Genomic DNA, 12607 nt, shown 5'->3' on the forward strand with positions numbered 1-12607 from the left:
AAGACAACTTACTTGGCAACTAGAAGACCAGTATTTTCGTCCTTTCAAGTATATTTAGAATGCAAAATCATTATTATTACGAGAGGGAAAGCCTTTTTTTAATGTTAGGATATGTTCCTCTGCATGGTAGGAACTGACGCTATCTCCCTCCCCGCATCAAGCTTATCTCCTCTCATACTATGTCCTTTCAAGGAGGTTGTTTTCCACACTCCTTTCTATGCCAAATGAATTCAATGTCAGTTTCAATCCCGTTTGTATTTTTGAAAACTTAATATGCACCTGGGACTGTACTAGGCACTGTGACAACAGCAAAATAAAATGTTTGACATAAGTTGGGCTCTTTAAGAGTTAAGAATTTAGTTGAGACAAGATGTACACCTGCAAAGAGTTCAAAAGCAAAGAGGAAACTACAAAACTATGTGAAAAATGTGCGCACTGTGAACTTCAAAGTGCCCCAGGGGCTCAGAGCGAAGAAGCAGTGTTGTCTGGAGTGTTCAGGTTGCTCATGAGGGCAGGTCAGCACTGGGACTTGGGAGGAATCTTGAAAGGAAGAGAAACAGACTATGACTGATTGACACAAACTTAGGGAGAAAAACAATTTCCTAGTGAAAATTTTGGCCCCGGCACAACCGCTCTTCTCTTACTCACCGGCGCTCATGTCCACTCTACCTGCGCTTTGACAACTCATTCTTGGCGTGCAAAGCAAATAATTCACTTTGCTTCATTGGGATATGAAAAAGAGGAGTCATGGAAACACAAGGACACCAGGAAGAATAAAATGAACTCTAACAGGTGGTTTCTGTGAACCGCCCTGCATGCTGAAACCAGGGCTGTGTCTGATTTTAATTAGGCACGAGGGCTTCTAGAGCCTACACCCTGAAGTCAACATGTTCCAAAACTAATTCATTATCTTTGGCAAACCTGTTCCCCCTTTGTGATTCCCACCTCAGCCAACGGGCCTCACCATATTCCCAGTTTCTCTGGCGAGGATCTCAGGTCCCCTCTGATCCCCGAGTCACTCTCTACTGCTGCATTCGGTCATTGAACATTGAGCCTAGGGGGTTGGATCTCCACATCTTTCCCGAACCCATCACCTCAGCCAGTTCTTCCTGCTGCCACCCTGGTCTGGGCCCTCATCTCCTCATCTTCCTCTAAGATCACTCATCTCTCCAACCTCATTTCTCTGCACTCGTTGGCCACGCCTTTCTAAAATAGAAACCGGCACTCCCCAGTTTCAAGTTTTTCCCGTTGTTTATAAAACGAGGACTAAACTCCTTTGCTTGGTTTTCAAGGCCTCTCACCTTCTCTAGCTTCACTGGACCAAGCCTCTCCCCTTGGCTACCCATTTATCCATTCTTCCCCACCTCTTATGCACCAGGTAGATCTGTCTGCCTTCAATTTTCCAGCTTGCCCAATACTTTTCTTGCCTCCATGGTCTTGCTCATGCAATTTCTTCAGCTTTTCTGATAGTTGAACTCCTAATCCGGCCTCCTCCAGGATTCCTGCTTCACATGGACCACTGCTTTCCTCTCTCTGCTTCCTACCTTCATCATTTGTGACATTCTCCTGACATTTAAAAAATTTGACCCTTTGCGCTGAAGGAGTGAGCCAGGTGGGATTGGGAGACCAGGGCAAAGGGAGTAGAAGAATGTTTTGAGACAGGGAACAGCATGTGTAAAGACTCAGAGGACAGAGACAATGGTGTATTCATGGAGCTAAACAGTGTATAGTAGTTAGTAGAAACTGGGTTTGAGTGGACAGGATGGCATTGGGAAGAAGTGGCACTGGAGGAAGAGGCAGGGGCAAGTCCGTGGGGCTGGCCCTGCTAAGAAGCTGGACTTTTAGCTAAAGATCAATGGGCAAGTTTGAAGAGTTATCAGCAGGGCAGTGATGAGATAACATTTGCATTTGAAAGGGATGTAGTATATGGGGACCAGAGAAAGACTGGAGAAAGGACTGTCAGTTAGGAGGCTGGCAGGAGATAATAAGCTTGGTCAAGGGTAGTGACCAAGTTCACTACCTCTATTCAAGAAACAGAGGAAGAGAGTGGACTTTAGAGCTTTAGAAAGGAGATGTGATTAGGCCTGGTTAATTGATCGGCCTGGTTTAAATGGAGAGGGTGAGTGAAAGGAGACACCTGGGTTTCTGGCATGGCCCAGAAATGAAACTATCCATGCCACAGTATCACTTCCTGCTGATGCCCTCTAAAGAGACTGGATCTCTCTCCCTTCTCAGAGCTGAAACTTTTGACAGTGAGGGTGGGGGTGGTCGAGAGCCCCTCAGACATTTGCTTTGGAGAAGACACTTCCAGTTGATATGGGGCCTGGATCTCATTCATTTGTTACAGTCTCCAGGGCAACTAGTTATTCAATAAACCTTGGTGAATAAACAACTGTGCCTATAAATACTGTTCCTGGTAGTCTTCCTGTTATGTTTTCTAAAAAATATTGGGCATTTTATCTTTTATTGCCCTTCATAGTGTAAATGTAATGGAGCCTGTCTTCCTCCCCAACTCAGATTTCAGTTGAAAGTCTTCATCAGGAGGCGAGTCTTCTGCCAGCCGGGTTATTTGATAGACTTCGTAGTCTTCATGGTGCTCCTTGATGGCTATTTAATGTCTGGTAGCTCAGAGTCATGACCAGAAAATCAACTGTGTCCTTTGACACCTTCCTGGGCCAATGTCCATTTCCTACATCTTCTTTTCTCTTCAAAGTCATGGCCTGTACAACAAAAGATTAAAATCCCCTGGAGACCTATGTCCTTTATTCCTACCTAGAACCTTAAAGGAACTAAACATACCATTTCTTCTGACTGCATCTTTTCTTATGAATCATTTCAAGGCATACTCATGTTGTCAGAAAGTAGTTCATCTCCAGAATCATGGGTCACAATGGACTTGCTGTGTCCTTCCCCTGCCACCACTGCCCCCTTCCTCTACTGGTAAGCCCACCTGCTAGAGTGGGGAGATCTCCTTCTCTTCCTCCTCCACCTGCAGTATGTGCTTTTGTGGCATGTTCTTTTTTTTTCTTTTCTTTTTTCTGAGACAGTGTCTTGCTCTGTCACTCAGGCTGGATTGCAGTGGCAAGATCTCAGCTCACTGCAACCTCTGCCTCCCAGGTTCTAGCGTTTCTTGTGCCTCAGCCTCCCGAGTAGCTGAGATTACAGGTGCCCACCACCATGCCCTGCTAATTTTTGTATTTTTCATAGAGATGGGGTTTCACCATGTTGGCCAGGCTGGTCTTGAACTCCTGACCTCAAGAGATCTGCCTACCTCGTCCTCCCAAAGTGCTGAAATTACAGGCATGAATCTTTCCTTATTCACATCTTGAGGCTGCTCACAGTCCTCCCTTGTGTCTGGAATCTCATAGTGATGGCTTTCTCCTGGGCTTATGCTCGTGAGAGCCCCTCACCACCTCTATAAGTTGCAGAAGCAATCATTGAGCACTTTCTTCAGCCACTTTAGCAGACAGTCAGGTTTGCATATCAGTGATTTCATCATAACTAGGGAATGGTAAAATCATAGTACAATTAATATGATTCTTTAATTTTAAAGAACTATACAAATAGAAGGTAGTTATCAATATAAATTTAAAAATGTCTTTCCCAGAGTTTAAGGTAATGATATTGCCACAATTGATACACACATATGTTATTATAAATGCTCATTTTAGAAGATGAAATATACCATCTGAATGGCATACAAATAATAAGTGCTACTTAGGTCATTATTGGCATTTCCTCCTACCTCTTAAACAACATAATTTCAATCAGCTTTACATTTAGACATCATTTCTTGCTTAGTTTTGACATAACAGAATTAGCAATCATTAAAAGCAACCTATTTTTTTTAAGCACCTACTGTATTAGTCAGGGTTCTTCAGAGAAGCAGCACCAGTAGGAGAGATGGATATATGTGTGTAATGTATGCATTTTGTATATACACATATATAAAATAAGGAGTTGGCCCATGTGGGTATGGAGGCTGACAAGTCCCAGGATCTGCACTCAGCATGCCTGAGACCCAGGAAGAGCCAATGTTTCAGTTTGAGTCTGGAGGCAGAAAAAAACCAATGTCCCAGCTCAAAGCAGTAAGGCAGGAGGGTCAATCTTTTTCTTCCATTCAGGCCTTCAGCTGATTCGATGATGGCCACTCACAGTGAGGGTGGGGTGGGGGGCAGCAACCTGCTTTACTCAGTCAACTGATTCAAATGATTCAAATGTTCATCTCACCCAAAACACCCACGCAGACACACCCAGAATCATGTTTGACCAAATATCTGGGCACTCTGCAGCCTAGTCAAGTTGACACATAAAATTAATCATTGCACCTACTATGTCATCAGTTGGCCTAGTAATTACCTCATTTAATTGCCACAAAGACCTCCCATATGGAAAGTAGTCTTATTCCCATTTACTCCACAGCTGTTTATTTAATAAATGTTTGCACATTTTAGAGATGAAGAACTGAGCCTCAGATAATTGAAGTAACTTGTCTAAGGCAGCACAGCTAGTAAATGGCAGGGCCAGGATTTCAACACAAGTCTAAAACACTCAGCTGGGTACTCTGAACCAGTATGGCCACTGCCTCCCAGCACTGGTGCTGTGCTCCCCACAGGCCCTGAGGGTTCCTCCTTAGGATGGAGAAGAGCTGAAGGCATTGGCCGCTGGCCAACACTCAGGGCAGCAGCAGGGCAGGCACACCTGAACATGTGGGACCTGAGTGCAGCTGGGAGCCTGGAGAAGGCTCCCCTTTCCTTTGCCTTTGAGATGACCCACAGAGCATGAATAGTTGCTGGTATTTGTTGAAAGCTACGTGCTCGTGCTTTGTGTGGATATTATTATTTAATATTCACAACATTTCTGTTCTTCTCACCACCCCACTCTGCTTGGGAGGGAGGCAGTGACAGTGCCCCCATGAGGCAGCCATGGGCAAGGACTAGGAGGCATCCTTTTAAACTGCTGTCCTCAGAGCCACCAAGAGTGCCCTAGGTTGCCTTAAATGGCCCCATGGGCCAGTCCAATCCTGTTCCATCTCTCCTCAAAATCTGCCCATCAAAACTGCTTAAAATGTGCATGAATCAATGATTCCGCAGGTGCGTGCTGCCTGCTGATTCACCCACGAGCAGGCCTGGGCTTTCCCTTCTTTTTATTTGCTCCTCATCGCTTGATACATTGCTGTTCCTCATTTTCCATTTCCACTAGAGCTTGGCAAAAACACTGTCTAGTTCTAAACATAACTATGAGCCCCTAAATAAATCTTGTATAAAAGGAGCTCCTTTGTCTTTGACTCCCTGCAGCACTCTCTGTTTGCTCTACGGAGTCCCCTTCATCGTGACAACATAAGCAGTCCTCATGGCATTGCCCAGTTAGCTTCGCCCACAGCAAAACTCTCATTTTGCAGAGGAGGAATCGGAGACTCAGGAGAGCATGGGCCTTCCCCAAGTTCACACAGTTAGAAGCCAAGCCATCCGTATCCCAGTCCAGTGCTTCTGGTGTATCCCACAGACATCAGTTCTTATGGGGTGGGATGGGCAGGTCAAAAAGCAAGACATCTGGAGGTGGCCTTGCAGGAAGGCACGCAGGCTGGCCTGGGGCCACACAGGAGGTCGGCACCTGTTTTGCATATTTGCCTCCATGTACAACCATGTGGGTGCAACACAAACAAAGGTACTGGAAGAGGAACTGGGATAGGGAAATACTTTTTACATTGGCAGAAGCAGATCCCCTCTGGTGTGCATGCTTTGCTGGAAGGCCCGGGAAAGAGCTGAGATTCCTAATTGACTAGAATATGACTCACTTAGGACTCCCATTCCCAGAGGAAGTGGCTTTGGCTCATATTATGTGTTTACAGAGAATCATCTCATCCATGTAAGCCCTCAGCACTGGATCCACCCAGCGGATTCTTCTCCATGACATCTTGGTGGGTCTCCAGACACGCATTTGGCTTCCATGGGATGATGTTTCCAGATCAGACCCTTGCTCTGCTCCCGAGCTGTGAACCAGATCACAGGAGCAGAGGGTGAACTGTCTTGTTTCAGCCTAGGACTCTGAGAATACTCTACCAGCCGAACACTTCCACAAGGAAACACAATTGGTGGTAACAACTCTCAGAGGAAAGGGAAATAAAACTGCTTCTTGCTTTCAAGATCATTCCGCTTTTTTTTTTTTTTTTTTTTTTTGGTAGCATAAAGGGTAAATAAACTTTAGATGCCTTGAGAGCAATTGAATCATAGTTGAGAAGGCAGCACACCCTAGAGGTGGAAAGAGAATTTGGATGGTGTCCAGAGATGTGGGAGCTCGTTCTGGATACGAAGGTCTCACTGGTAAAATCACTGCAACGCTTGACCTGGGATGCTCAGAATTGGGAGACCCATGTTCCTACCCTTGCTCCGTTAATAACTGTCTGATGTGTACATGAAACCCCTCTGAGCCTCAGTTTCTTGATTTATAAAGTGGGAATAATAACACTTGCCCTGCCTACCTGTCCCAGGTGTGTGGGTCAAATGACCCTATGTGAACACACTTTGTTAACAAGGGAGTATTCTCTCTATTGTTGTTGTTTTGTGTGTGTGTGTGTGTGTGTGTGTGTGTGTGATGTAAGTGGGAATGTCTTTTGCTGGAAGTGAGATGGGAATGCTGAGGAGTGGTGGAGAATGGTAAAAGATCTTACTGGGACACACAGAGGGTGCTGGGTAGGGTTGCAGCCCCCTAGCACTGGAGACCCTGGGTCTGCAGTGCCAGCATTCACCCCACCAGCAGATGGACATACAGTCCAATGTTGGCTGGGGTGGTGGATAGAGTTAGGAGTATTGACAAGGCAGCAGTTACAATGGTGATCTCAGAGATTTCACTGAACAGGGAAAGAGCTGAAGAAAGGGACCCAGCAGATAGGCTTGGGGAGCTCGGAGGTATCAGAGAAATGTAAGCATCACGTGCATGAGGGAGTTGTTGGCAAGGTGGCAGTGGTGGGCAGAAAGGCAAAGCTGGAGTTTCAGATTTGAGAGGTGGAGGGCATCCAAGATCTGACAAGGAAGGCGGTGCTGAAGGGCCCCAGGCCAATCACAAGGTTGGAATGGAGAGAGTAGAAGCTGAGTGCCAGGGTCATCTCAAAGAATATGGTGGAGTTGTCACACCTAGGGAGATGGGAAATCTGTGAGTGGTCAGGACATCAGAGGTGGGGGCAGGTGTCTGGAAGGGCTGGGAGGAGAAGGCTGATGCTGCTTTAGGGTAATGGAGGCCCAGAAAACAGATCTGCCTGGACGCATGCTCAGATTTGAAATTGGATATGAATTACATACAAATTGGTCATTTTACACATAGATAACCAAAAGTTGTTGGGTCATCTTGTCCTCAATAATACAAAATATGCATTAAAAACTGTGCTAAATAACTCCTTTTAGCTATCGACATTTTTCATAAAATAGCCCCAAGGGCATGGTTAGTATCAATGAAAGAGAGCCACACATTGCTGAATTTTCAGGAGTTTTGCAAGCCAGGTGTTATGTTGATAGCTTGAAATAGGCCTCGAAGGGAAATCAGCAAACATTACAAACCAGGGCTTCCCTCCAATAATGCCCCCACCATCCCTGGAAATCTAGTTATTAAATATTTCCCAGCACCACTGCCTAGGCATAAATAAAATCTCCAAATCTGCCCAACTTTACAATCCTGTTGTGGACTGAATGTGCTGCGCCTGTAAAAGAGACATGTCCTAATCTCTGGTGCCCGTGGATGTGGCCTTATTTCAAAGCAGGGTCTTTGGAGATGTCATTAAGATCTAAATTAAGATGAGGCCTTACTGGAGTAGGGTGGGCCCTTAATCCGATATGACTGGAGTCCTCCTTAGAAAAGGAGAAGAGATACAGAGAGATACACACAGAGTGGGGAAAACTATGTGAAGACGCAGACCCAGGGCAGAACAGCATGTGACATTGGAGGCACACCACAGTGACACAAACCAATGATTGCTGGCGGCACAAGAGGCCAAGAGAAAGACATGGAACCAACTCCCCTCAGAGCTCCAGAAACAACCAACCCTGCAGACACCTTGACTTCTGACTTCTGACTTCTGGCCTCCAGACCTGTAAGATGAGACATTCCTGTTGCTTTAAGCCATGCGGTTTGTGGTACCTCGTTACGGCAGCCTGGGGAATCTGACAACCCTGTCACAGCCTCATGTTTGGGCAGGAGGGCATGGAAGTTCTTCCACATGAACAGCAAAGGGAAGGTCGACTTTTACCTTTCCCTGTCTCTGCTCCTAGGGGACCTTCCCTCTTCCCGGCACCTCCAGCACATGTTTTCTTTACCATGATCTGGTCCTTCCCATTAGGTGCCAAGTATTGTGGGTCATGCTTCATGCTTTCCCTTCTAAATGGCAATCAGGGGTTGTAAACGCAGATGCCCCTGTGGGTCAGAGTTGTTCAGCGTGATGCAGGGAGAACTTTTTCAAATTGGAAAGTGCATTCTGTATTTAAATTAAACACCCCAATGAGCTGGCCAAGGAAAACCTGGCTGAGACCTGACATTTTGGGAACTCTTTGACGTGCTCTGAGAGGTGGAGGACATCTCTTAGCCTTGGCATTCCCCAGCAGCCCCCGGCAGCATTTATTCACTGCTGGTGAACTGGCTGATTGTGTCTGGCTGGTTCCTGGGTTTTTGTTGTCATTTGCTACCTGGATCTCTCAGGGGTCTTTTGTCTTGACCTAGCTGAACAGCGAATGGAGTGGAGATCTCAGAATTTCCACAGTTGCTCCAATGTTTCTCCCTTCAGACAGAAGCCTTACAAAAAAACCAGATTTTGTAGGTTATAAATCCCCCAACGGACAAGCTCTGGGATGCTATTGCAAAACTCTAGTTTCAGAAGAATGCACCAAGAGGGCGGCGTCCTCTCCAGACATGACCTGCCCCACCCGGATATTTCCAGGAGTGTTTTCCTCGGCAGCTCTCGTCATCTTAGGTGGCTGGGGGACAGGCATCAGGCACATGGAAAATCAAGGTTGATTTGGGGTGAGAAATATTTTGAAGTTGTAACTCCTGTTTACAGTTTCTTTCTTTATGAACACCAGAGGGCACCACAGTCATACTGAATGGTGGGTCGGCCTTGCTTTAGGACTGAAATCCTGGTACCCAAATTTTTTTTTCTTTTTAATTTAAGAACTAAGAAGTGCTGAATTGAATATGTATTCATTTGAATATTTTGCTCAGGCTTCTAAGAAAGTTGCAGAAGAGGCTTTTGGGGCCACTTGCTGGATGTTCACGCCCAGGGCCTGGGGCAGGGGGACCTGTGGGGCAGCACTCCTTGCCTGCCCTCCCACCCAGTCCTGAGATTGTCCAGCTCTGGTCGGTTCTGCGGCAGGGCTGGAACTGTGTCCCAGGCCAGAGCTACCTCGTGCAGGGACCCAGCTCGTTGCTTCCTGGGCTCATCCTTTTAAACTGGCTCTGTGAGTTGTTCCACTTAGCATCTGGAGGTGAGGCCTGGCCCTGGGGGAATGGAGGATTCCCCAGGGAAGGTTGAGGGATTGCTGAGGTTGCACAGTTGTTGCCTCAACAGCAGTGGGGCTTTGGCAACAGGGACCAGTTGACTGGTGTGTGTGTCTGGGGTCTTGAACAGTTTCCCACTGATGCCCTCTGGTAGCTTCCCACTGACAGCAGAGCATTCATGGTTCTGGAGAAATATAGAAAATTTTCTGTAGGCTCCTAAAAGGCTCTGGAAGGAGCAGGAGCAGAGCTACTGAGGGCATGAGAGGCTTCGTGGGTGCTGGGGGCTCTGTGAAGGGGTAGCTGGGCTGACCTCCAGAGAGACCTGAGACCTGGGAGGAGAGACCACGTGGGAGAGGTGCCTTGCCAGAGGTGGGCAGCAGAGGGAGATGCTACCAGCACCATCTCCTGTCTAATCGTGAGTGTCTGGGCCCCAAGAGGGTGTGTGTATGCTTGTGGAAGAATCTGTACCAGATGACACAACTCATTCAGACAGGGGCTTTTCCATTCTAACCTCTGGGACGGTCCACTCAGTGTCAGCCATACGGTTTTGGGAACCTTCCGATGACACTCAGCAGAGAGCAAGGCTGTTCTTAGCAACAGCATATTGTAAATAGCAAAGGAGCACTCGATCTGCAGGAAAGCAGACGGCTTTGCAGACCAGAAGCTCTACTAATGAGTTGATGGCAATTTAGTGAGCCTTGGCTGTTTGTATGAAAGAGAAAACTTCAACAAAATGAGGGGAGAACGTATATCTATAAAAGAGAGTATGAGGGCATGGCTGTGACCTCCACCAGCAAGTTGAAACGTTCCACTGAGAAGATCCACTGTGGATAATGGGAACTAGTGCAAGGCCATGATCTGCTTGGTGCAGTGGGCCCAGGAGGCAGGCAGAGGGACTGCCCTGCTTCCAAGACCAGTGACCGCTGCAGGGTCTACCTGGCCACGAGGGGGTTCCCTTTGTCATTTACAATTCACTTGCTCCATTCAGTCTTTTTATTTAACTGGGATCAAAAAGGATATAATTGGTAGCAGATCATTTGGATTCCAGTTCCAGATTTGTGACCCTCATGAGTGATGTTCAGGCTTGGCAGAAGTCACATGATCACACCTAACAGGTTACCTTTCTTAAAATGGGCACCTATTAATAATATCAAATAATGGATATGATATGACCTGTGAAGGCACTTAGGAATTGATCCAGTGTGACATAGGTGGTGTCATTAATCTCAGGAGGGAATCTTTAGCATTTCTTTCTCTTTCAAATATGTGTCTGTTACTTGGGCTGAGTGAGGCTCCATTTGAAGGAGGCTTATTTAGAGTTAAGATAAAGATATATCTTCAGGCCTATGCTTTTACCATCACCAAACAAATAGGATTGGAAAGTATTTTGGGTTCTGGGTACTCATGGCTTTGTAGACTGCTTAGCCACATTCAGACAACAATTTGCAGAGCAACTTCCATATTAGAACTTTTTGTGAAAAAACACAAAATAAAATTCAGTTTAACTCAAGAAGTATCCAAAAACATTCACTAAAAAGGACTACTTTTGTCCTGAGCAGGGAATACCATCCTTGTTTTTGTTTTCTACCTTTTTTTAAGCTAACGTTAGAGACATCTTGGGCTAATGGGAACAGGGAATAACTACTGGCAAAATCAGGGATCAAGGTTCTGTTTATGTTTTGTCAAACAAATACATCTGTTTGACCTGAAGCCTCCTTGGTTTATTACAGCAATTGCTTACTGTAAGTAAGCAACAAGGTGTTTAAATTTCACACATGTGAAATACATATTATGTTGCCTAGCAGGGGCCAAGACTCAGTCAATATTTTTTTGTAGCACAGTTCTCAGATTCTGAGCTTTACTTAACCAAAAGTTTACTTAACCAAAGGAAGCAAGTTCTTAACCTTGACACTAGAACTGTGAGTTAGACTTTATTAGTGAACACACTTATTGGTAGTTCCTTGTTTAAGTCCATTACCACAATGTTTTTCTTTAGCTTTAACACATGCACCATTTGGCACAGTCATAGACCGATAAGCAAGGGAATATAGCAGGCAGCAGTCCCCTGGAATTACAAGCTCCTGAAGCAAAGCTCCGTAATGGGTGACAGCTTGAGCTATGGAATCAACCAGCCTGATTTCAAAGCCAGAGTCCACTGTTCACTGGCTGGTTACCTTGGGCAATTCACTCAACCTCCTCAATCTTAAATTCCTCCTCTAGAAAATGAGTGCATAAAAACACCCACTTCATACTTTTTTTTTTTTTTTTTTTGAGATGGAGTTTCTCTCTTGTTGCCCAGGCTGGAGTGCAATGGTGCGACCTTGCCTCACTGCAACCTCTGCCTCCTGGGCTCAAGCGATTCTCCTGCCTCAGCCTCCTGAGTAGGTGGGATTATAGGTGCCCACCACCATGCCTGGCTCATTTTTTGTATTTTTAGTAGAGACGGGGTTTCATCATGTTGGCCAGGCTGGTCTCGAGCTCCCGACCTCAGGTGATCCACCAGCTTCAGCCTCCCAAAGTGCTGGGATTACAGGCATGAGCCACTGCGCCCAGCCCACTTTATACTTTTTAGGGCTTCAGTGAGATAATCTAGTCAGTGTTAGCTACTATCACTAACATCATCATCATCATCACTGCCTCTTAGTCTCCTAAAATACCCAGTATAGTGCCTTACACTGTGATAAAGGGGGAACAATTCCCATTTGTTGTATAACTCATTCCATCCACTGATGCATTTTAAATTTGGAATGAAATCTATCAGGATTACAGATTCAAATTCTTAAAGCTCTTCCAATGTACTTTGTTCCCATTTTGGGGGGCAGGGAGAGAGTAACTTCTTAAAAATTTTCCAAACTTCAACCCTAGAAAATAATCTATGTATATAAACGTTCTTAGTATAATTCTTGGCACATCGTAGTAGACATTTCATAAAAGTTCTAAGAGATAAAAAGTAAAATGGGTTTATATTTTATGATGATTTTTAGGGGAGACATAGGCTTCAAGAAAGTGACTTGCGGCCACACACAGTGGCTCACACCTGTAATCTCAGCACTTTGGGAGGCCGAGGCAGGCGTATCATGAGGTCAGGAGATCGAGACCATCCTGGCCAACATGGTGAAACCCCGTC

The 12607-nt window shown here is 45.7% G+C and overlaps 1 protein-coding gene across 4 annotated transcripts in view, besides 1 other annotated feature; it reads left to right on the forward strand.

The window, feature by feature from the left end:
- The window catches only part of DNAJC5B (DnaJ heat shock protein family (Hsp40) member C5 beta), an 86268-nt gene that overhangs the window by 12637 nt on the left and 61024 nt on the right, over positions 1 to 12607 (forward strand). The window lies entirely within an intron of this gene.
- Positions 4948 to 5007: a silencer, noted in NCBI's record as "silent region_19250". NCBI's record gives its function as "represses an Ori minimal core promoter by ATAC-STARR-seq in GM12878 lymphoblastoid cells {active_cell/tissue: GM12878}" and the evidence as "EXISTENCE:reporter gene assay evidence [ECO:0000049][PMID:35858748]".

Source organism: Homo sapiens, chromosome 8, assembly GCF_000001405.40.
Source record: "Homo sapiens chromosome 8, GRCh38.p14 Primary Assembly".
Taxonomy (NCBI): Eukaryota; Metazoa; Chordata; class Mammalia; order Primates; family Hominidae; genus Homo; species Homo sapiens.